At 51.2% G+C, this 24,091-nt stretch overlaps 1 protein-coding gene and 1 long non-coding RNA gene across 3 annotated transcripts in view, besides 2 other annotated features; one reads left to right on the top strand and one right to left on the bottom strand.

The window, feature by feature from the left end:
* The window catches only part of CARD11 (caspase recruitment domain family member 11), a 137,726-nt gene that overhangs the window by 93,872 nt on the left and 19,763 nt on the right, over positions 1 to 24,091 (top strand). For both annotated transcript variants that reach the window (NM_032415.7, NM_001324281.3), the window contains 12 exons: positions 2,209 to 2,421; positions 4,040 to 4,177; positions 5,459 to 5,784; positions 10,068 to 10,247; positions 11,165 to 11,317; positions 11,964 to 12,089; positions 12,762 to 12,959; positions 15,367 to 15,543; positions 17,410 to 17,461; positions 19,922 to 20,004; positions 21,298 to 21,398; positions 23,205 to 23,257. In NM_032415.7, the coding sequence (NP_115791.3) occupies positions 2,209 to 2,421; positions 4,040 to 4,177; positions 5,459 to 5,784; positions 10,068 to 10,247; positions 11,165 to 11,317; positions 11,964 to 12,089; positions 12,762 to 12,959; positions 15,367 to 15,543; positions 17,410 to 17,461; positions 19,922 to 20,004; positions 21,298 to 21,398; positions 23,205 to 23,257 (1,800 nt within the window). The remainder of the gene's footprint in view (positions 1 to 2,208; positions 2,422 to 4,039; positions 4,178 to 5,458; positions 5,785 to 10,067; positions 10,248 to 11,164; positions 11,318 to 11,963; positions 12,090 to 12,761; positions 12,960 to 15,366; positions 15,544 to 17,409; positions 17,462 to 19,921; positions 20,005 to 21,297; positions 21,399 to 23,204; positions 23,258 to 24,091) is intronic.
* Positions 2,909 to 5,961, bottom strand: CARD11-AS1 (CARD11 antisense RNA 1). The gene is made up of 2 exons (NR_187443.1): positions 5,488 to 5,961; positions 2,909 to 3,399 (listed from the first exon to the last, which is right to left on the bottom strand). It is a non-coding gene; the product is annotated as a CARD11 antisense RNA 1 (long non-coding RNA).
* Positions 10,587 to 10,778: a silencer, noted in NCBI's record as "fragment chr7:2978852-2979043 (GRCh37/hg19 assembly coordinates)". NCBI's record gives its function as "represses an EF-1alpha promoter that drives an FKBP-Casp9 reporter gene in an ReSE screen in K562 erythroleukemia cells {active_cell/tissue: K562}" and the evidence as "EXISTENCE:reporter gene assay evidence [ECO:0000049][PMID:32094911]".
* Positions 11,682 to 12,578: an enhancer, noted in NCBI's record as "H3K27ac-H3K4me1 hESC enhancer chr7:2977052-2977948 (GRCh37/hg19 assembly coordinates)". NCBI's record gives its function as "activates a minimal SCP1, AML or CMV promoter by ChIP-STARR-seq in primed H9 embryonic stem cells {active_cell/tissue: H9 hESC(primed)}" and the evidence as "EXISTENCE:reporter gene assay evidence [ECO:0000049][PMID:30033119]".

Here is a 24,091-nt window from a genome sequence, read left to right as displayed (position 1 = left end):
TAACAAAAGAAGTGCAAGACTTGTACACTGAGAACTATGAAACATTGCTGAAAGAAATTAAAGAAGATTTAAAGAAAGACATCCCCCTGTTCATAGATCAGAAGATTTAATATTGTTAGGTAGCAGTACTCTCCAAATTGATCTACATATTCAGCAGATTCACTACCAAAATGCCAACTGCCTTTTTTGCAGAAATTGACATCCTAATCCTAAAATTAGGTAAAAGGCACCTAATAGCCAAAACAATCTTGAAAAAGAACAAGGTTGGGAGACCCATACTCCCAATTTCAAGGCCTACTACAAATCTACAAATCTTCGGTAATCAAGACAATGTAGTACTGGCATAAGGATACACATATAGATCAATGGAATAGAATCAATAGTGCAAAAACAAATGTTTACTTTTATGGTCAGTTGATTGTCAACAAGGGTAGCAAGATCATTCAATGGGGAAAGAGTAGTCTTTTCAAACAAACTGTGCTTGGACAACTGGACATCCACACATAAAAGAATGCAACTGGACCCCTACCTCACACCATACACAAAAATTAACTCAAAATGGATCATCCTCAATGTAAGAACTAAGGTATAATATTCAAAGGCAAAAAACAGGAGTAAGTCTTCATCATCTTGAGTTAGACAATGGTGTTTCGGATACATGCCAAGAGCACAAGTGAAAAAAAGAAAAAATAAATAAATTGGACTACCTCAAAATTTGAAACTTTTGTGCTACAAACAATGCTTTTAAGAAAGTGAAAAGACAACTGACAGAGTGGGAGAAAATATTTGCAAGTCATATATCTGATAAGTGGCTTGCATCCAGAATACATAACAAAATCCTACAACCCAATAATAAAAAGACAAACAACACAATTTTAAAATGGGCAAAGGATTTGAATAGACATTTCTCAATGCACACAAATGGCCAATATGCACATGAAAAGATGCTCAACATCGTTAGTCATTAGGGAAATGCAAATCAAAACCACAATGAGATGCTACTTCACACTCAGTAGGAGAGCTGTAATAAAAAAGACAGACAATAACAAGTTGTTAGCAAGAATATGGAGGAATTAAAACCCTCATGGCTTGTTGGTGGCAATGTAAAATGATGCAGCTGCTTTGGAAAACAATTTGGCAATTCCTCAAAATGTTAAATATAGAGTTGCCATATGGCCTAACAATCCACTCTTACGTATCTACCCAAGGGAAATAAAAACATACAGTCACACAAAAACTTTTACATGAATGTTCATAGCAGCATTGTTCATAATAGACAAAAGGTAGAAATAACTCAAATGTCCATTAGTGGATGAACAGACAAGCAAAATGGGGCATGTCCATGCAATGAAAAAATCACTGAGCAATTTAAAATAAGTGAAGTCCTGATACATGCTACAACAGGAACAAACCTTGAAAAGTTGCTGAGTGAAAGAAGCCAGACATGAAAGACCATAAATTGTAGGATTTCACTTGTATAAAATGTACGGAAAAGACAAATCTATACAGACAGAAGGTGAACGAGTGGTTACACAGGGCTGGAGGAGCAGGGATTAGAGGGAAATTGAGAGTGGCTAATAAAGGGTGAGGAGCTTCTTTTTGAAATGACGGAAATGATTTTAAATTGATTGTGGTGGTGGTTGCACAGCTCTGTGAATATACTAAAATCATTGAATTGAACATATTAAAAAGGTAACTTGTATGCTATGTGAATTACATCACAATAAAGCTATTTTTAAAAACGAATGACTTAGATCTATATGTATCCATCTAGATAAATCTCAAAAAAAAATGTAGAGGGAGAAAAACATGCTGAAAAAGGAAACGTACAGTATGACACCATTTATGTGAAATTTTAAAACAAAAGCCAATAGTATATATTGTTTAGGGAACTATACATTTTTAGTAAGACATAAAAACTTGGATGGAAAGGGTAGACTCAACCGCAGGATTTTCCCTCTCTGCCCTATAAATAATCTTTTTTAAAATTGATGGCTTAAACTTCCATTGTTTATGTTTAGCATATAAGGAAATATATATTTTTATATTCATAACCCCTTTCTTAGACAAAAGGTAAAATGCTATATATACTTTAGTGTACAGGACTTTTTTTTAACTTAATATATTCTAGAGGTCACTCCAGAGGAGTTGATAGAGCTGTTCCAGTGAGACTGCTTTATTAAGCTTGTTGGGGTTTATGTCTAAAAGGAGGAGGGCCAGAGATGGATGACTACATGGAGACGCTGAAGGATGAAGAGGACGCCTTGTGGGAGAATGTGGAGTGTAACCGGCACATGCTCAGCCGCTATATCAACCCTGCCAAGCTCACGCCCTACCTGCGTCAGTGTAAGGTCATTGATGAGCAGGATGAAGATGAAGTGCTTAATGCCCCTATGCTGCCATCCAAGATCAACCGAGCAGGTAACCTTAGGACCTCTTTGCGGGAGAGGGAGGGCTACCGCACACGGCAACTTCCAGACATACCCTTTGGTAGCTGTACCAAAATGAAGTTGCTCTAGGTCAGGGATTTTTAAACTGGGGTCCGCAGTCCATCACCTACTCATTTGTGTATAGAACTCAAGCTGTCTGTGTATGGAACTCAAAGGATCCATAAACTGGGAGGGGGGAAGAAATGCCATCTTTATTTTACCAACCTCAACTGCAATTCAGCATTGCCCTCAATTGCAAATGTCAGGAAGCCACAAATTACAGGAGTGATTAGTAATTCTTGTGACTTAGGCAACAATGAAAATTACAGATCTCTTCCTATCACTACAGTTACTGCAAATCTCTCAAAATGCCACTTACACTCATCTCTCTTTCAAAATTACAGTACTTATTAGACCTGCCGAGAGGTCTTGTTATTTAATGCATTAATAAAGAAGTATGTTACTGAAACACAAATTTATTTAATATTTGATAACTGGATTTTATTATAATTGGTTTCTTTTGTAATCTGATGTACTTTATCTGTTTAAAAATATTCCGAGAAGGGTTCCACAAGCTTTTCTAGCCTGACTTCTGGAGGGGGGGTTTATCATATTCAGTAAAGGTAATAAATATGGTTTGTGAAGCTTGTTTTAATTTTACATTATGTACATGTGTATACACATGTACTTGTAGAGTTATCTTTGTCTATGGTCACTAGACCACAATGTTAAATGTTTTTCTTTCTATGGATCAGTTTAGAAGGTTTGATAATCACTGTCCCCCAGCGTGGCTGGTGGTAAGTGGCTCATCAGCTGCGACTCTCTGGCATCCATGGCAGACATCAGTAATCAGCATGCTTTCCCACTGAGCTTGGATGTAACTTTGGAATGTTTCTCGAAACAGTACTGCAGGCGGCTTCACCAAACAATCGGGGTTGACATACCATCAAATTTATTTCTTCTGTCCGTCCTAGGGAAAAGGTCGAGTTTTAAGACCTACCTTTCTTCTTCTATATCTCAGAAGAATATCTGAAAATAAAATGTTTAAGGAAGGGCCCAGAAATGTAAGCAATAAGTGGAATCAATAGTATAGAAACTGGGACCTGCTGGGGAAATTACATTTAAGGTGTTTCCAGGTTGTGTAATAATCCCAAAGAAAAACCTAGAACTATCCCTACTTCCTATGATTTTTCCTAGCCTCTCACCCAAAGATTTGTCTTCCTGCTCTCAATCCCAGAGAACCATATATTATTCCATAATTTTTATCGTGCTTCCAACCTCCTTCAGTCATAGAAGACCTGGTGCCTACGTGGTTCATTTTGGCCCTGGTCAGTTGGGAAACTCTTCAAAACTGGGGCGGCAATTCCATTTATCCTGGTTCTACCAGTTTATTAGAAACAGAAAACTAACGCTCACCAAATCCCTGCGGAGGGCCTGGCACCTTGATTTACGTCATCTGGGCTCCAAGATACAACTCAGAAGTGATAGAATGTGGGGAGACTGTCTTCTTAGAGTTGATTGAAGGACACAAGTCCAGGATGAGACCAGCCACAGAGACTTGCGTTCCATCAGATATGTATTCTCACAGAGTGATCTGGTCTTTCCCCTAGGCCGGCTGTTGGACATTCTACATACCAAGGGGCAAAGGGGCTATGTGGTCTTCTTGGAGAGCCTAGAATTTTATTACCCAGAACTGTACAAACTGGTGACTGGGAAAGAGCCCACTCGGAGATTCTCCACCATTGTGGGTAAGTGCTTTTGCCATTGGGAACATCTGGACTCTAAGAGGAGGGGCGTGTGTGTGTGTGTGTCTGTGTGTGTGTGTGTGTGTGTGTGTGTCCTCAGTAGTGGCATGGTTCTTAAGCTGTGAATCTATGACATATAGAACTGGGGTCTGTCAACCACTTATTTTGCTTGATGATGAAAGGTTAACAGGGGCAAAGGGAAGCAGGAACCAAGAGAAGTGGGTGTTCACGGACCATCCCCCATGAATGGCGCCAGGTGGAACACAAGTTCATTCTACCCCGTAGATCTTGTCCTTGCCTTGCCTGCATTCTTTCTAGTGTCTCATGGGCCAGAGCCCTTGAGCATCTTGCCTTCTTAATCTTCCTTTCTAAACATTCTTGAATCAGTCTTCTCGCCCGCCCCAACACTTCCCACAGTCCAGACTCCCACAACCCCATTAACTCTCCATATCCATTCCCGATCTGTTCCAGTGCTTTCTCCATTCTTCCTCCCCTATTTAAAACCCTTTGGTGGTTTTTCATTGCTTCTTTGTAAAGACCCAGGTCTTGGCCAGGCACAGTGGCTCATGCCTGAAATTCCAACACTTTTGGAGGCTGCAGCCATAGAATTGCTTGAGCCCAGGAGTTCCAGGCTGCAATAAGCTATGATCATGCCCCTGCACTCCAGCCTGGGTAATAGAGCGAGACCCTGTTTTAAAATATAAAAAAAGTCCCAGGTCTTTAATGCAGCCCACAAGGACCCTTCATGATCCAGTCCCTGCTGACACCACCAGCCTCGCCTTTCTCTTCTCTCTCTCTCCTTCGGCCACTTTGGTCTTCGTTCAGTTCCTGAAATATGCCAAGTTCCTCCCTCCTCCCCATATGGCCTTGGCAATGTTGTTCCCCTTTCCTAGAATGCCTTTTCCCACCCGAACTTAACATTTTACCTCAACCATCAGGAGCCTTCTCCAACCCCCTCTGCCCACAAGGCTGGATCTGGGCCCCTGCTACACACTCTCATAGCCCCATCTACCTTTACTTTGTGAAATCCTCACGGTCTGTAATTCTATTTGTGGTATCATTTGATTTTTTTAAATGTGTTTCTCTTATTACACCCTAAGCTCTCCCGGGGCCAAGGCTGTGAGTCTCGCTCACTCTGAATCCCCAGTGCCTCGTGGGCAGAGTGAGTAAAGAGCTTGGCACAACGTTGGTGAGTGAGTGAATGAATGGCACCTGCCCTGCGTCTGGAACCTCCTTTTTCCACTTCCCAGTCCTCAGGCCTGACTGGGTGCCCCCTCTCCACAGTGGAGGAAGGCCACGAGGGCCTCACGCACTTCCTGATGAACGAGGTCATCAAGCTGCAGCAGCAGATGAAGGCCAAGGACCTGCAACGCTGCGAGCTGCTGGCCAGGTTGCGGCAGCTGGAGGATGAGAAGAAGCAGATGACGCTGACGCGCGTGGAGCTGCTAACCTTCCAGGAGCGGTACTACAAGATGAAGGAAGAGCGGGACAGCTACAATGACGAGCTGGTCAAGGTGAAGGACGACAACTACAACTTAGCCATGCGCTACGCACAGCTCAGTGAGGAGAAGAACATGGCGGTCATGAGGAGCCGAGACCTCCAACTCGAGGTGAGGGGTGCCCAAGGGCTACTCCGCCAGGGTGACCCGGGGGAAACAAATGTCACCAGGGCTCAATTCTCCCATAAAGCAGGTGCAGGCACATGCACGTGGTCTGCCGGAGCTTCCTGCCAGCCAGGTGTGGGGGAATGGAGGACACAGGGCCTCTGGGAGTTCTAGGTCCACTATGCACCTGCACGTGTACCCATAGTGCTTAGCGCTACCGGGTAAGCGGCCTACATCCCCTGTGCGCATGGGCAGACATGCGCACAAGGACCGACCCAGTGCGCAGCTTTCCACCACCGGCTCAGTCCCAGATCCACCTTGCACATGCGCATGCAGACCCAGAATGGCTCACTCCGCAAATGAATTAAGGAGATTTACATCTTCTTTTTTCTTTTCTTTTATTTTCCTTTCCTTCTTTTCTTTCTTTCTTTTTCTTTTCTTTTTTTTTTTTTTTTTTTTTTTTTTTTTTGAGACAGGGTCTTCCACTGCCCAGGCTGCAGTGGTGTGATCATGGCTCACTGAAGCCTTGACCTCCTAGACTCAAGTGATCCTCCTGTCTCAGCCTCCAAAGTAGCTGGGACTACAGGTGCCCACCATCACGCCAGGCTATTCTTTCAATTTTTTTGTAGAAAAGGGGTCTCGCTATTTTGCCCAGGCTGATCTGCAACTCCTGGGCTCAAGTGATCTGCCTCCCTTGGCCTTACAAAGTGGTGGGATTACAGGTATGAGCCACTGCACCCGGCCTCGTTCATTCTTTCTGTTTATTGAGTTCCATCGGGTACCAGGCTTTTTGTTTTTGGGTTTTTTGGAGGAGTTTTTTGGACAGAGTCTCACTCTGTCACCCAGGCTGGAGTGCAGTGGTGTGATCACAGCTCACTGTAGCTTTGGCCTTGCAGGCTCAGGTGATCCTCCCACCTTAGCCTCCCAAGTAGCTGGGACTACAGGTACATGCTATGCCAGCTAATTTTTTTCTATTTTTATCCTACCCACCCCCCTTTTTCTATTTTTAGTAAAGACAGGGTTTCACCATGTTGCCCAGGCTGGTCTTGAACTCCTGGGCTCGGGCAATCTGCACACTTGGCCTCCCAAAGTGCTGGGATTACAGGTATAAGCCACCACACCTGGCCCCCAGGCTCTTTTCCAGGGATACATAGCTGAAGACTAAAACCCTTCTGTCGTGGAACTAACATTGTAATCAGAAAACAAATGCATAGATACTTGGTAGAAATGAGTGCTATCAAGAAGAGAAGACAGGGCGTGAGGACAGAACATGAGGATTGCTACTTTAACTAGGGTGTCCAGGAAAGGTCTCTGAGAAGGAGACACATGAAGAGAGATCTGAAGGGATGAAAGGAGCCAACCATGCAAGTCTCAGGGGAAAGCACTCGCAAAGCCCATAAGTAGGGGGCATTTTGTTTTTGTTTTTGTTTTTGTTTTTGAAGAAACAGCAGGAAGGCTGAGCTTGATGGCCCACACCTGTAATCCCAGCATTTGGGGAGGCCAAGGCGGGAGGATTGCTTCAGTCCAGGAGTTTGAGACCAGCATGGGCAACATGGCAAAACCCCATCTCTACAAAAATAAGCCAGGCATGGTGGTATGCACCTGTAGTCCCAGCTACTAGGGGTGATAAGGCAGGACGATTACCTGAGCCTGGGAGGTCGAGGCTGCAGTGAGCCATGCCTGTCAAAAGAAAGAACTAGAAGGAAGGAAGGAAGGAAGGAAGGGAGAGAGAGAGAAAGAGAAAGAAAAAGGAAGGAAAAAGACAGGAAGGGAGGGAGGGAAGGAAGGAAGGAAGAAAGGAAGGGAGGAAGGAAGGAAAGGGAGGAAGGGAGGGAGGAAGGAAGGAAGAGGGAGGGAGTAAGGAAGGGGAGGGAGGGAGGAAGGAAGGAAGAGGGAGGAAGGAAGAGGGAGGGAGGGAGGGAGGAAGAGGGAGGGAGGAAGGAAGGAAGGAAGAGAAACAAATGAAAGAGAAAAGAAATGGCAGGAGAGTCAGTGGGGCCAGAGCCAAATAAACAAATGGTGCAGAAGGGAGTGGAAGGGATGGCGGGGTCCAGATCATGGGGGCATGGTAAGAACTTTGGGATTTATTCTAGTTGTGATGAGAACCCTCTGAAGGATTGAGAGCTGAAGAGTGACAATTGATTTATGTCTGAGAAGGATCACTCTGGCTGCTGGATGGAAAATAGACTCACAGAATATTTATTAAGCACCTGCCACGTGTGAGGCACTGTGCTAAGCACTGTGGGAGACATGGGGATAAATAACGTGAGCTGTGCTCAGGTCACTTACAATTTAGTGAAGCAGACAGATCCGTAAACAATCCACCGGGAATTCAGGTGAATTGAGTCAGTGGCATAGCAGGCAATAGTGTTTTGGTTAGAAGCATGAGCTTTGTAAGTCCTGTAGCTTTGAGTTCAAATTCTGGCTTTATGCTTTACGACTTACTTAGCTATTGGCCTCAGTTTCCTCATTTGCAGATGTCAATAATGAAAGTAATACGTGTGCCCTAGGATTGCTGGGATACTGAACCGTAGGTCTTTGGCGGAGCGGCTGACCCTGTAAGCACCCCACAATGCTAGCGCCCCATGCCTGCTCGTGTGGGACCCGGGACTTACCACAGGACACTTGGGTTAAGCTTTGAAGATGCTGAGGAGCTTTTTTTTTTTTTTTTTTTTTTTGCATGAGCAGGAGAGATTTCTATGCTGTTTTTACCTAGGATTTGGGGAAGTTACCCTGTGGCAGAGACTTACAAGTTTCTCTCCCGGAACTTCCTCCTGTGTTATGTTTCCCTGGAGATACATTAATAGTGAGAAAGTGTAAGTAGAATTTGGAAGAACATCTGGCCAGCAGAGTCCCTGGCTGGTTTTCTTGGCCTCGGGCTGCTTCCTGCACGCCCCTTTCTTCATCGTCTCAGGTTAATCACTGGGGTGCAGGAGCTGGTCTTTTCTTGCTAAAGCCACTGCTCTCTACCTGCCAGATTCCTTGAGATGATTCTCCTTCCAAGACTAGATTTGAAAAATGACACTCTCCCCTTTGGTGCCTCCTTTCTTTATAGCCCTCGAATGCAACCTTCTTGTTTGGGATACTTTAGCAAAGCCGATGTGTTTGGGGAGGAACACAGGTTAGTCTCACAGGTTGAAGAAGTCTTCTGCTGGTCCCAGTTCCTGACACTAAACTCTTGAGTGTGAAAATCAGCACATCTCCACTTGTCTCATTTCCAGATGCAATAGCTGCCTCCTCCAGGAAGCTACTCTTTCTGCCACTAAGTCTAGGGAGGTTCTTTAGGGTGGAGATCCTGTGAAATTACAATTCAGTGAATTTCAGGCTGTCTTCTTCTCCTTCTCCTTTTCCTTCTCCTTCTCCTCCTCCTCCTCTTCCTCTCCTCCTCCTCCTTCTTCTCCTCCTTCTTCCTATTATTCTTCTTTCTTCTCCTCCTCCTCTTCCTTCTTCTTCTTTCTTCTTCTCCTTCTCCTTCTTCCCCTTTCTCTTCCTCTTCCTCTCCTCCTTCCTCCTCCTCCTCTCCTCCTCCTCTTCCTTCTTCTCCCCCTCCTCTTCTTCCTCTTTTTCCTCTTCTTCCTCCTCCTCTCCTTCTCCTTCTCATTCCTCCTCTTCCTCTTCTTCTTTCTCTTCCTCTTCTTCTCTTTTCTCTTCTTCCCCTTCCTCTTCTTCTTCCTCTACTTTTCTTCTTCTCCTCCTTCTCCTGTTTTTTCTTCTTTTTCCTCTTCCTCCTCCTCTTCCTCTTCCTTTTTAGCAACAGTGCTATTTATCCAAATAAAATCTTGTGTGAAACCCAGAAGAACAAACCACACAAGCAGAGCTGTTCTGGGATGTGAAGTCAGTGTGGATGCCCAGAACCCCAACTTGTCAACCATCTCCTCCTTCCCCCTGGGTAACCCCTGGATTCCTCAGGGGAATCCTTGAGTTCCGAGGATCAGAATTTGAAACCCATCAGAGAAGGGCGTTGAAGTGGGAAACACCAACTTGGATCTCTTTTATCCCAAAATCCATAACCTGTCCCACCTGACAAAGGTTGAGGGAATTTTCTCTGAGGCCTGTAGCCCCTTTGGAGCTATTCTAAATAGACTAATCAGGAACTCTCCATCAACAGGGTGATGACAGTTTGTTTTACTGGAGAAGGTTTCTTGGAGCCCTTCTCTGCCCGTGGAAGAAGGAGAGAGGGGCATAACTCAGGTTATGCTGCCAGCCCAGTGGGATCGGGGGAAGCGTTGCCTTTTCTGAGTGTTTCTTGCCACCTGCCTTCTCCCCTGGGCACCCTTGGGGTATTTCAGATCGATCAGCTAAAGCACCGGTTGAATAAGATGGAGGAGGAATGTAAGCTGGAGAGAAATCAGTCTCTAAAACTGAAGAATGACATTGAAAATCGGCCCAAGAAGGAGCAGGTTCTGGAACTGGAGCGGGAGAATGAAATGCTGAAGACCAAAAACCAGGAGCTGCAGTCCATCATCCAGGTGAGGGCCTGGGGGCGGGGCCAGCGCGGGCAGTGGGAGGGTGAGGGCTTGGGGTTGGGGGAAACGATGAACCTGCCAGGGTGTGAGTCCCCAAGCCTCACCCATGCTGACTGCAGGATCACAGGCATGCGTGCCATCCTTGGGCACCTTTGTCTCCTCCTCTGTAAAGCGGTGACCCCCACCACCCATTTGTCAGAGATAGGATATCATACTTGGGAAAACATGTGCTTATTTGAAGCACTCCAGGAAAATCACCAACCACGTGGAAATCAATGCCCTGGGCACTGTGGGAAGAGACAAGGACATCTAGGAAACCTACGTGCCCTTAAAGATTCCAAGAAACTCAACTGTAAGCTCCGTGCCTCTTGTTCCAACCTCAAATGCCTCCCCACACTTGTCATCGCCGAGTCACTTGTGGGCACAGAGGAGGAAGTTGCTGAGGAGTGACATCCCAAAACATATCTACAGGGCAAGAAAAAAAACATGCATCCTCCTGCTCCCTCCAGAACAGTCCCCCCAGGAGTGGCTGCCTGGTATATGAGGCTCTGTTTCAGAGCCGAGGATGAACCCAGCTTCTCCAGAACAGATTCCTTGATATTTCAGGGGCAGCATCTAAAAAGTGTTTCGGGTGCAGCAACTGCTTCTCTGCGCTCCGATAAGCGCCAGGGAGAACAAAAGGCCCAGGATACGCCCAAGCAAAAGCCAGTTTTCTGCTTCTTTCCAGGCAATAAACTTCTTAAATGCTAAGCTTCTTAGAGACCCCAGGGGACATACATCTCTTCTTGCCTCTACCTTCCAGGCACAAAACCTTCTGCTCTGTCCGTATCTGTTGCTGGTTCTTCTGTCCCCTGCCCTCCAGGACCACCTGGCTCCCCACCCCGACCCTGACCCTCTGAAACCTCCTCCCTCCCACCCAGGCCGGGAAGCGCAGCCTGCCAGACTCAGACAAGGCCATCCTGGACATCTTGGAACACGACCGCAAGGAGGCCCTGGAGGACAGGCAGGAGCTGGTCAACAGGATCTACAACCTGCAGGAGGAGGCCCGCCAGGCAGAGGAGCTGCGAGACAAGGTGGGAGTGGGGATCGCCCGCCCAGCGGTGCCCTCGGCCGGCCCCCTTCACACCAGGGGGCAGTGGTGTGTGTCAGCAGGACCTCCCTGACCCCACACTCCTTTCCAGGGACTAGATCAGACCCCTGGCATAAATCCCCTGTACCTCCCAGTATTCAGCCCCTGGCAGAAGCTGCAGTTTATCAACCAGATGAGGGCCTGGGGGTGGGAGCAATGTGGGCAGAGGGGAGGGTGAGGGCTTGGGATTGGGGGAACCCACATACCTGCCAAGGTGTGAGTCTCAGAGCCTCACCCACACCTTGCGGATTGCAGGATCCCAGATGTGCCGGCCACCCTTGGGCATGTACAAGCTATTGCACCAGCTTAGCACCTGTGTCCCCCTCCTGACTGAGATCACATTGTCCTCCCCTATGTTACCTGGTCTGTAGTGGGTTCACAACAATGCTGGGTTGATTGGTCTCCTACCTTGAGCCCCAACAGTCAGATAGTCGGTTCCCAGAAGGGCAGGCCATGTCCTGACCATGCCAGCTTAGGGAGGGACAGGCCAGCTCCAGCCAGCTGGCGGGAAGGCACGAGCAGAGAACAGCTTTCAGTCCTGACCTATTGATTGCTCGATGCGCATATTGATTTCTCTGTGTGGTTCACAGTACCTGGAGGAGAAGGAGGACCTGGAGCTCAAGTGCTCGACCCTGGGAAAGGACTGTGAAATGTACAAGCACCGCATGAACACGGTCATGCTGCAGCTGGAGGAGGTGGAGCGGGAGCGGGACCAGGTACAGGCACCACCTGCAGCGTGCAGGGCGGCGAGGCTGCACAGCGGGGCCCGCACCCCAGACCACCGGCTCCTTCAGAGTGTTTTGTCCAGTGCAACATCACTGACAATGCAGGGATCACTCCTGAATCCATCTTTCCCATTTCTGTTCCAAAGATGAATTCTAAAAGATGAATTCCAAAAGGCTTTTTTGGAAGTCACAGGCGTTTGGGTAGCAGGGGGATCCGAGCTGGGCTCCAGCAGCTCCCACGACCAAGCATGGTTCTTAAATGTTGTGTGTTCTCTCGGGTGAGAGGATGGGTTCAGATCCAGCCCTGTCATTCATAAGGTGTATGCCCATAGGCAAGCTGCCACCCCTGACCTCAGTGCCCTCATCTGTAAAATGGGGATAATTACGGTAGCACCGCCTCATAGGGACAGGCTGTGGCCTTCCAGGGACACTGCATCAAAGCTCTCAACACAGAGCCTGCCACTAGCAAGGGTCGGACCATCGGCTCTGTGATCGCGTTAATGAAGAAGGTAGTGACTGACACGCCCAGGGGTCAGACTGCAGACGAGAGCCACAGACGATGTGGCTGGCCCCTGGGTTGGGATGATGCCTGTCCCTGGGCCCAGCTGGATTTGGCTGGGGTGCAACCCCCAAAGCAGCCTTCGTCCCGCTTCTCCCTGGCAGGCCTTCCACTCCCGAGATGAAGCTCAGACACAGTACTCGCAGTGCTTAATCGAAAAGGACAAGTACAGGAAGCAGATCCGCGAGCTGGAGGAGAAGAACGACGAGATGAGGATCGAGATGGTGCGGCGGGAGGCCTGCATCGTCAACCTGGAGAGCAAGCTGCGGCGCCTCTCCAAGGACAGCAACAACCTGGACCAGGTGGGGCGGGACGGGCAGGACCCCACGCCTGAAGCCAGGTGGGCCCTGGTGCCCACTGAGGGCTGTGGCCAGTCCCCACCTCCCCGTGGAGACCCACACCTGAAGCCAGGTGCCCCCTGGCACCCACTGAGGGCTGTGACCAGTCGCCACCTCCCTGTGGGGCCCCAAACCAGAAGCCAGGTGCCCCCTGGCACCCACTGAGGGCTGTGACCAGTCGCCGCTTCCCTGTGCAATGAATGGCTCCTTGTCCTTTGTTTAGTTTTGTTTTGCTTTTGAGACAGGGTCTCACTCTGTCGCCCAGGCTGGAATGCAGTGGCACTATCACAGCTCACTGCAGCCTCAAACTCCTGGGCTCAAGCAGTCCTCCCACTTCAGCCTCCTGGGTAGCGGAACTAAAGGCACACACCACAATTCCTGACTAATTTTGTAATTTTTTTGTACAGACGAGGTCTCACTGTTTCCCAGGCTGGTCTTAAACTCCTATCCTCAAGCGATCCTCCCGCCTCAGCCTCCCAAAGAGCTGGAATTACAGCCGTTTGCCACTGTGCCCGGTTGGCTCTTCATATATTTGAAGCCGGAAGTTCCCTCCCACGCCCAGCATAATCCACATCTTTTACTGTTGTGTTTGTGTCTGTTTAGTGATGAGTGGAAGCCACTCATTTTGAAGTTAGAAGATGCAGGGTAGGGCTGGGCACAGTGGCTCATGCCTGTAATCTCAGCATTTTGGGAGGCTGAGGTGGGAGGATCGCTTTAGGGCAGGAGTTCAAGACCAGTCTGGGCAACAGAGCGAAAATTTTTAAAAATTTAAAAAATTAAAATTAAAAACATAAATAAGAAGATGCAGGGCGCCAGGTGCGAGGGTTCACGCCTGTAATCTCAGCACTTTGGGATGTCGAGGCAGGTGGATCACGAGGTCAGGAGTTCAAGACCAGCCTGACCAGCATGGTGAAACCCTGTCTCTACTAAAAATACAAAAAAATTAGCCAGGCGTGGTGGTGCGTGCCCATAGTCCCAGCTACTCGGGAGGCTGAGGCAGGAGAATCGCTTGAGCCCAGGAGGCGGAGGTTGCAGTGAGCCGAGATCACGCCACTGCACTCCAGCCTGGTGACAGAGCAAGACTCCATCTCAAAAAAAAAAAAGGCAAGCTTGACCTGGCCACTTCCTTGCTGGGCAGCCTCTGCCTTAGGAGCCTCAGTGCCCTCTCAGTGACCACAGCCAGCTGCTGGCCTCCCACTGGGGTTCCCCCGCACACCTGAACCGTCACTGGGTTTAAGACACCCTGTGGTCGTTACGGTTCCTAGTGCTTGTGAGTAAACCCTCATTTATGGACTATGTGAATTGCAGAGTGCATTTCCCAGCAGGGCTCCAGGCACTGAGAAATGAAGGAATGCCTCCTCCAGGGTAAATGTTACCACTATTATAGCTCTGGGTTTACCGAGTGCTGTCACGTGCAGGTGCCACGCAATGTGCCCTCTGTGCATTACCTCATTTACCCCACGGAACTGTCCTGCATGGAAAGCATGCTCAGTGTCCTCATTTACAAAGGAAGGGACCCTGACCAGGCGCGGTGGCTCAGGCCTGTAATCCCAGCACTTTGGGAGGACCCGTGCTCCCGGCTGCAGTTACAGCGTGAACACAGGCCTGGCATTAGCCCACTGTGCTGTCAGCAGGGCATGACCGGCGCTTCCATCCGTCTGCAGAGTGGGAGTCAAGGAGCAGCAGGGGGTTAACGGGGCACGCCAAGGTGGGCTGTGCACACCCAGGAGCTCTACTGCTGTTTTGAGCCCCTGGAAGATTTTGCACAGGGAGTGGAACAAGACGCTTTGAGTCTGGAGGCAGCGCAGCATGCGGGTGCCATGTGGCTTTGTGGGCCACGTAGTTCCTTCATGCTACAGCACTCCGCTTCCTATTTTGTAAAAAGCAATTATCAACAACAACCTCTACTTGTCAGGAAGGATTCAATGAGGTGACAGCTATGAAGCGCTCCAGACAAGACAGTACCTAGGACTGTGTGTGTGTGTTTTTTTTTTAACATCATTCAGTCATTCTGAATATTTTTTATATTTTTAGCTCAGGCACAGGGCTAGAAATTGGAAATTTCATGGTGGCAGATGAGATGGAAGGGGCTGAGGCCAGTTAGGAGGCAATGCCTTTACCATTGTACAAGAAGACCGGGGCTTGTTTGGGAGACTGGACCAGAAGCCTGGGAGGAGGATGCATCATTAGGCTGGACTGATGGGGGCTCAGTGTCTGGGGTTACGGTTGGGGTCAGGAAAGAAGAATGGCCAAAGTGAGCTTCATGTTCGGGTGGCCGAGGGAATGATGATGCCATCAGCCCAGCCATCTTGCCCACTGGTGGCGCATCGCCAAGCCCCACCACTAACGCCAGCTTTTTCTCTGTCCCCAGAGTCTGCCCAGGAACCTGCCAGTAACCATCATCTCTCAGGACTTTGGGGATGCCAGCCCCAGGACCAATGGTCAAGAAGCTGACGATTCTTCCACCTCGGAGGAGTCACCTGAAGACAGCAAGTACTTCCTGCCCTACCATCCGCCCCAGCGCAGGATGAACCTGAAGGGCATCCAGGTGCATGGGTGTGGAGGGAGGGGGCGCAGGTGCAGGGCAGAGGGTCTGTGAGCCGGGGGCCCCTGCAGGCGGCGATGGGGCAGCACAGCCACGCCTGCTTCTGGGTGGGTCTTGGGTGCCCAGACTGTGACTCACCCTATTTCAACCCTGTAAGCTGGAAATCCTGCGACTCGCTTCTTACTCATTTGTACATTTTTACTGATTTCCTCACTCTTATAAATGTAATAGACATTAAAAGAGAGAGAAAGAAAGACAGGCTGGGCATGGTAGCTCACGCCTGTAACCCCAGCACTTTGGGAGGCCAATGCGGGAGGATCACTTGAGGTCAGGAGTTCCAGACCAGCCTGGGCAACATAGGAAGATCAAGTGTCTCAAAAAAAAGAAAAGAAAAGAAAAGAAAAAAAACAGCCAGGCATTGTGGTACATACCTGTAGTCCCAGCTACTCAGGAAGCTGAGGCAGGAGGATCACTTGAGCCCAGGAGTTGGAGGCTGCTGTGAGCTATGATCGCACTACTATACTCCAGCCTGGGTGAGAGAGCAAGACCCTGTCTCAATAATAAGAGAGAGAGAGAGAAAGGAAAGAAACAGAAACGAAAGAAAGAGAAAGAAAGAAAGGAAAGAAAAGAAAAAGAAAAGAAAGAAAGAAGGAAGGAAGGAAAGAAAGAGAGAGAAAGAAAGAAAAGAAAGAAAGAAAGAAAAAGAGAAAGATGGAAGGAGGGAAGAAAGAAAAAGAAAGAAAGAAAGAAAGAAAGAAAGAAAGAAAGAAAGAAAGAAAGAAAGAAAGAAAGAAAGATGGAAGGAGGGAAAGAGAATGAAATGAGCATCATTTCCAAATTCAGTCTTGGTGCAGTCGCTCACGCCTGTAATCCCAGCACTTTGGGAAGCTGAGGTGGACGGATCACCTGAGGTCAGGAGTTCGGGAGCAGCCTGGCCAACATGGCGAAATCCCATCTCTACTAAAAATACAAAAATTAGCCGGGCGTGTTGGTGGATACCTGTAGTCCCAGCTACTCAGGAGGCTGAGGCAGGAGAATCACTTGAACCCAGTAGGGCGGAGGTTGCAGTCAGCCGAGATCGCACCACTGCACTCCAGCCTGGGCAATAAAGCAAGACTCTGTCTCAAAAAAAAAAAAAAAAAAAAAAAACCAATTCATTTGTTTATTCATCACATATGTATTGAGTATATGTACTGAGTGCCAATCACATGCCCGTCACATGTCAGGCACCATCCCAGGAGCTGGAGTTAGCAGTAATCCTGTCACTGTGTTCAGAATCTCGGGCAACCCGAAGCCCACGGCTGGCTCTCGATGGGGAGGGAATGAGTGAATGAATGAGATGCCACAGCAGGGCCTGACAATGCCTCTGCCTCTCCCAGCCTTCCACACGCCAAGCCAGAAGGCCTGAGGCAGCACATCTGAGCTGACTGAGACCCCATTAGCACTCCGGGCCGGGGGTGGCCAGGGCACCTGCCTGGCAGCCTCACCCTCTTCTGAAACCTGCTCTGTGTCATGTACCCAGCTCTGCTCAGCTTCACACTCCCCGCACATCACTTGGTCCCCTCTGCCGCTCTTGGCTCCTGTCCTGTCTTCTGCCATGAGCCATATTACACGGCCGCCCTGGGAGGAGAGCTTGTCTATACCAGCAGCTGCCTGATTCAAGCCCAGGGGAGCCGCTGTGTCTTGTCGTCCCGGCCGCGGGAGATGAGCATCGGTCCGTGTGCGTTCCGGGCTGAACCTGGTGGCCGTATGACGAGGGACACGATGGCTGGCCTCTCTCTATTTTTTTCTAAGCCCCAGTGACATGTGTCTAGGTCCCTGTTTGATTTGTGTCTTGTGTCTTGTTTCTTCCCCTCCCCTCCCTTTTAGCTGCAGAGAGCCAAATCCCCCATCAGCCTGAAGCGAACATCAGATTTTCAAGGTTAGTGAGACGCCCAAATCTCTCTTGGCCTGTCTCATCTGTCACTCTGTCTCTCTCGGTCCATCTGTTTCTCCCACTGTAACGAACAATCCTGCGTGGTAAACGTGGCGGGTTCTCGGGGGTCTCGGAGTGGTGGGGGTCCATCCAAATAGCAATTAATGTTCATCGTCATTCAAAGCAGGCAGGAGCCCAACTGCTGAAAGGTCCCCTCTGTGGTTCCCTCCACGCTTCCCCGCCTCTCCCGGTGGGTCTGTCCGGAATCCCTGGTGCGTTAGCTGAACTGTGCGTTTTGCCCGTGGCTTCTCAGCGAAAGGACTCTTTGACCCTCTTCCAAGACTTTTGGCCGGGTGTTCCCCCACAGGACTTCACAGGAGGCTGGTTCATTCGTCAGTCCCTGGTTCTCCGAGACACACTGCCTTCAGAATCTTCTCTTTTGTCCTCACCATGTCTCTGGGAGTGACAGATCGGCTAGAAGGGTTTGCCTAAGCAAATCAAGCACCTACTATGTGCCAGGTGCTGGAAGGCCCAAGTAGATGTCCATAGACCCCACACACTCAGGCAGGGCCACAGCCAGGAGGTGGAAAGTGCATGGGTCCTGAGAGTGGCTGGACAAAGGTCAGAGAAGGATCCATCAAGAAGGGCACATTTGGCCGGGTGGGGTGGCTCACACCTATAATCCCAGCACTCTGGGAGGCCAAGGCGGGCAGATCACCTGAGGTCAGGAGTTTGAGACCAGCCTGGTCAACATGGTGAAACCCTGTCTCTACTAAAAATACAAAAATTAGCCGGGCGTGGTGGCAGATGCCTGTAATCCCAGCTACTTGGGAGGCTGAGGCAGGAGAATCACTTGAGCCCGGGAGGCTGAGGCAGGAGAATCACTTGAGCCCAGGAGGCAGAGGTTGCAGTGAGCCAAGATGGCACCACTGCACTCCAGCCTGGGTGACACAGTGAGACGCTGTCTCAAAAAAAAGAAAGAAAGAAAAATGTGGGGGCGGGGTGGACATTTAAACTGGGGCTGGAAAAGGGAGCCTTTTGGTGGAGGGACACAGTGTCCAGAAGTACTCCTCAGCTCAGAGAGGGGCCCATAAACAGAGGTGTGGAGACCAGGAGGTGCACAGGCAGAAGCCGCCCTGCCACCCCAGAGCGTAAAGCAGGAGAGCACTGGGCTGAGACTGTGGGCGCCTCACTGAAGATATGGACTTCATCCTGCATGGCAAGGATGAAGCCTCCCCCAGGTGGCTTTGGGGTGGGCAGGAGAGTGAAGAGTGCAGACCTGTGCTTAAGGCCGTTCTCTCTGGACACGGAGGGCAGCAGAGGGAGGCCAGGGCGGGGGGCCCCGTCCAGCTCCCTCACGGCCACATCCGGTGTCTCAGTGGCCTTCTGTATCAGAAGGGAGGTGCAAAGGGCCTGGGGCCTGCAGGAAGCAGAGAAGGGGGTTGCATCACAGGGAAGGGACAGGATGCAGTGGCCATGGGGCTCCTCATCAGACCTTAATAGGCTGCCCAGTGCCAGGTGCTGGGGGCCCAGGGAAGGACAGCATATGGTTCCTCCCCACAAGGCATCCACTGATGGGGGTGCATGTACGTATATCTCTCTGTGCACACAACACGGGCACACACAGCAAGGGTGGGAGCAAGGAGGGGACACAGAGAGCAAAGCCGTCTTAGGAGGGCTGAGAGGATGTGCACATGGTCCCCAGGCAACCCACCACAGAGCCAGGGGTTGGGGCAGGGACATCAAGGGAGGCTTCACTGAGGAGGTGACGGACTTGGCCCCCAGTTTGTCCTCATCCCCATCAGCCAGCCCTGCTTGTCGGGGAGAGGCAGAGTCCATGTTGATGGCAGAGAATTGGACAGGAAGACTCATGCCCCGGTTGTCCATTGTTCACAGAAAATGCCAGCCGGGGACCCCACACCAGTCCTCAGAGACACATGGCGTTGTCCAGCTTTGACCCAGGCTGCCCAGGGGGTGACCCTCGCTGGGAGCTGCGATATGTTGGCAAATGAGACCCACCACCCCCTCCCCGCCAGGAGCCTACTGTGGTGGGGGGAGACAGGAAAAGAAGAGATGGTTTTATGCCTGTGATACCAGCGCTTTGGGAGGCCAAGGCAGGAGAATTGCTTGAGGCCGGGAGTTCAAGACCAGCCTGGGCAGCATAGCAAGACACCATCTCTATAAAAAATTTGATAAAAAGCAAGAGGAGGTTTTTGAGGGCTCTTTCTCCAGCAGATGCCACAGAGAGTGGAGTGAGCCCTCAAGGGAGAGAAGAGGCCCCAGACCCACCTCGTTAGAAGGAGGTTGGGGATGATGCCAGAGAGCCCCATGTGCCTATGGGCCATGAGGCTCTGACTTCCCTTTCCCCACCTTTTCTCTTCCTCCCCTCTCTCTCTTCCACCTCAAACCCTCCCCGGCCCCCTTCTCCTTTCTCTGTCTCTCCCATCTCGTCTCCCGTGAGGACAGCCAAGGGGCACGAGGAAGAAGGCACGGACGCCAGCCCTAGCTCCTGCGGATCTCTGCCCATCACCAACTCCTTCACCAAGATGGTGAGCTGCAGCCTCTGCCCGATCTGCAGGTCCCCTCCATTGTCTCCCCCTGCAGAAGAGTGTCTGGGACCCCAGTTCATGCCCACCACCCACTCTCCCTCCAGAGCTCATCCCCACCACCCTCTCCCCCTGCAGAATGCCATCCAGGGACCCAGCTTATCCCCACCACCCTCTCTCCCTCCAGAGTGCCATCCGGGGCACCAGCTCATCCCCCAACACCCTCTCCTGCTGCAGAGCACCGTCCCGGGGCCCCAGCCTCATCCACCCCACCAGCCCTGACCCACCTCGCCTTCCTCCCCAAGACCCAGCCTCTGAGCAGCGCTGCTGCCTGCTCTGGGCTGCAGCCCCAGCCTCCCTTATGTTTATTTAGAGAGGTTTCCACAGCCTCGCAATGTATTTACACCTTCTTGCCGCCTCCTTTCCCAATTTAACACTTGGTGGGAGGAGGAGCTGGGCCTCCCAGGGGCTGTCGCGCATGGCACAGGCCGTGAAAATTCTGCCGCAACTTCTCAGCCCCTGGCAACTCCCGCAGCCTGGGGAACGGGCGGCAGGCAGGGCAGGGAGCTGTGAGCAGCTGGAGCCGCCGCAGAGCTGAGGCTTGGGGCCCCATCCCCAGCCCAGAACCCCTACCCGGGCAGAGCCGGGCAGGGTCCCAGCCACTGCATCCAGCACTGCCCACCCCCTGACAGGCAGCAGAAGGCCCAAGATTAGAGATTCTAACCCCAAGGGGAAGCCCTGGGAAGCTTGTCAGCTCAGCTTCCAAAATCAGGCCCTGGGGGAGGCAGATATTTGATAATGAATGATTCCTGTCTGATGGCTGCCCTGGGTGGCAGAATCCCAGGCTCTTATTAAGAGCGGCTCTGGCCAGGAGCCAGCAGGCCTGGTTTCAAAGGTTGCCCTCCAGCAGCTGTGCCGTCCGGGGCACCACTGCCCTCCCCACGCCCCAGGCCCACACTGTTCACCATGTTTAGAGCAGGTGCCCACAGCAGGTGCAGCCCGGGGGCCTTGAGCTCAGCCTGTGCACCATGGCGAGGCAGCGCCCCAGTCCCCCAGCCGGCCGGCTCCCGCCTGCGTCCTCCCTGTGAGCAGATGTGCGAGCAGATGTGCTTCAAGCTCGGCGGCTGCGGCCGCTCCGGGCTCAGCACAAGCCTCCTCCAGCCAAGGTCGCCGCTGATAGCCGGCTCGCTGCCTCCATGCCGCCTGAGTAGGAGGCGGGCACGATTTTGCATTGAATTGAGTCCCTGCGTGTGTAATATTTATGCACCCGTAACGTGTGTGTGTCTGTGTCTGAAGCAGCCCCCCCGGAGCCGCAGCAGCATCATGTCAATCACCGCCGAGCCCCCGGGAAACGACTCCATCGTCAGACGCTACAAGGAGGACGCGCCCCATCGCAGGTGGGTGGCAGGTGAGGGAGGACTGGGCTTTTGCCCCGTGCCACCATGCCAAGCCTCCTTACCCCGTCTCTGGGCCAGTCCACGCTTGCTGACCCAGCTGTCCTCGAAGCAACCCTGAAAGGCAGGGTACTGCTCATTGTACAGATGAGGAGGCTGAGGCTCAGAGGAGGGAAGCGGCCTCCCTGGGTTCACCCAGCTGCCTGTCCAAGGACAAAACCTATGACCCGTGGCTCCATGCTGCCCAGAAATCAGGTTCCCGGGCCCCACAGCCCCAGGGCTTGGCTTTTTCTGCCAAAGAATAAGAAACTCACAGCTGGGCATGGTGGCTCACACCTGTAATCCCAGCACTTTGGGAGGCCGAGGCGGGTGGATCACCTGAGGTCAGGAGTTCGAGACCAGCCTGACCAATATGGTGAAACCCCATCTCTGGTAAAATTACAAAAAATTAGCTGGGTGTGGTGGCATGTGCCTGTAATCCCAGCTACTCGGGAGGCTGAGGCAGGAGAATCGCTTGAATCCGGCAGGTGGAGGTTGCAGTGAGCCGAGATCATGCCCCTGCACTCCAGCCTGGGTGACAGAGCGAGACTCCATCTCAAAAAAAAAAAAAAAAGAAACTCATGAATGGCTTCTCCAATCTCCTCTCCCACCTTCCTTACTTCCTAAAAACCATTAGTGTCCTCACAAAGAGAACCACAGTAGAAGTATGCCTGGGCAACGGGTGTTTCCAGCCTGCCAGGGTTTGGCACGTCACCTACAAAGTCAGAGGTTGTTGGGCGGTTTCCAGAAGGGCAGAGAGCAAGCAGTGGCCTTGGAGGCTGGATCCACACCCCCGGTCCCACTGGGGCCTGGGTTTGGGCCTCTTAGCATGGCCTTCCCTGGCTGGCTCCAGAGATCAGCAGCAAAGACCTGCACTAGGCCGGGCACAGTGGCTTACGCCTGTAATCCCAACACTTTGGGAGGCTGAGGCGGGTGGATCACCTGAGGTCAGGAGTTCAAGACCAGACTGGCCAACATGGCAAAACCCCATCTCTACTAAAAATTAAAAAAATAAAAAATAAAAATAGCTGGGCATGGTGGCATGCACCTGTAATCCTAGCTACTGGGGAGGCTGAGGCAGGAGAATCGCTTGAACCCGGGAGGCAGAGGTTGCAGTGAGCCAAGATCGCACCATTGCACTTCAGCCTGGGTGACAGGAGCAAAACTCCATCTCAAAAATTAAAAAAAAAAAAAAATCAGACCCACACCAGCCCCTCCACCAGCAGCTGTGTTGCGGGGGCACCCTCTGGCCAGCCGGGGGCAGGTGTTGAAAGCAGCTTTCAGAAGCCACATGTGGCGTCTGCATGAAAGCACCTGCACCTTGAAGCACTATTGCAAAAACCACATGCAGACAATTGAGAACTCCAGAGCACAGCAAGCTTGCTGTGTCCACTCCGGCTGAAGGGCGCTCAGCTCCCAAACCCATCACACAGGGCAGATGGATCTCTGTCCTGTACCATGTCGGAGAAGAGTGAGAGAGACGTGAACAGCAGGTGGGGCCGGCAGGGCCTCTGTTCACCTGCCCTGGCTTTCCTCCTCCCCTGCTGGAGGAGGCAATCTCCAAGACCTCCAGGCCACCCACCCTTCCAGGGAGCCTCCTGCCTACTCCACCCTTCCTTGTCCCAACCTCCTCCACCCACACTGCCCTCTCAGAAGCAAGGCCACTCGGAAGCCTGGAACCTTCCAGAAGCTTCTCTCTCCCTTGCCTGCGTGTGCACACACACACACACTCACATGCATGCTTTCCCCCACCTCCCTTGTGTCTTGCAGCACAGTCGAAGAAGACAATGACAGCGGCGGGTTTGACGCCTTAGATCTGGATGGTACGTGCCTCTCAGATCCGGGAGGGTCCTGGGTAGGACGGGTCACAGAGGGTCACAGGTGGAGGGTCACAGGTCCTTAAGACCTACTATGTGGAATGGACTCAGAGTCGCTCTTGAACACAAAAGATAAGCCTCTGTCCCCCATTGGGCTTGCCCATGGCTGAGAGATGCCCTGTGAGCTTGTTCTTTGTCTTGTAGGTAATGGGGGCCCATCCGGCTGCTGTGCAGAGGGTGCGAGCTAGGTCTGGGCTTTTAAAAAGCGTAGCTCTCACATACTCTAGCCAGGCACCATGGAGGGGCTCGACCTGCATACCTGATCCAGTTTAATCTCAACAGCCGCTCTCAGAAATGCTATTGTTACCCTCATTTTATAGATAAAGACAGGAGCCTCAGAGACAGGAAAGAACAGGAGGGCAGAGAGTGGGCTGGGAGCAGGGAGTTCTCATGCGAAATTCATGTGTTGAGCTGTTAACCAGCCTCTGCAAAAGGAATACAGAATGCAGATGGAGAGGCCGACATTGGAGGGGCAAGGCCAGGGGGAGAGGCCGAAATTGGAGGTGCAAGGCTGAGGGGAGAGGCCAACATTGGAGGTGCAAGACTGTGGGGAGAGGCCAACATTGGAGGTGCAAGGCTGTGGGGAGAGGCCAACATTGGAGGTGCAAGGCTGTGGGGAGAGGCCAACATTGGAGGTGCAAGACTGTGGGGAGAGGCCAACATTGGAGGTGCAAGGCTGTGGGGAGAGGCCAGCATTGGAAGGGCAAGGCCAGGGAGAGAGGCCGACCTTGGAGGTACAAGGCTGTGGGGAGAGAGGCCAACATTGGAAGGGCAAGGCCA

This window comes from Homo sapiens, chromosome 7 (genome assembly GCF_000001405.40).
Source record: "Homo sapiens chromosome 7, GRCh38.p14 Primary Assembly".
In the NCBI taxonomy this organism is placed as follows: Eukaryota; Metazoa; Chordata; class Mammalia; order Primates; family Hominidae; genus Homo; species Homo sapiens.
This window is presented reverse-complemented; position numbering and strand designations above follow the sequence as displayed.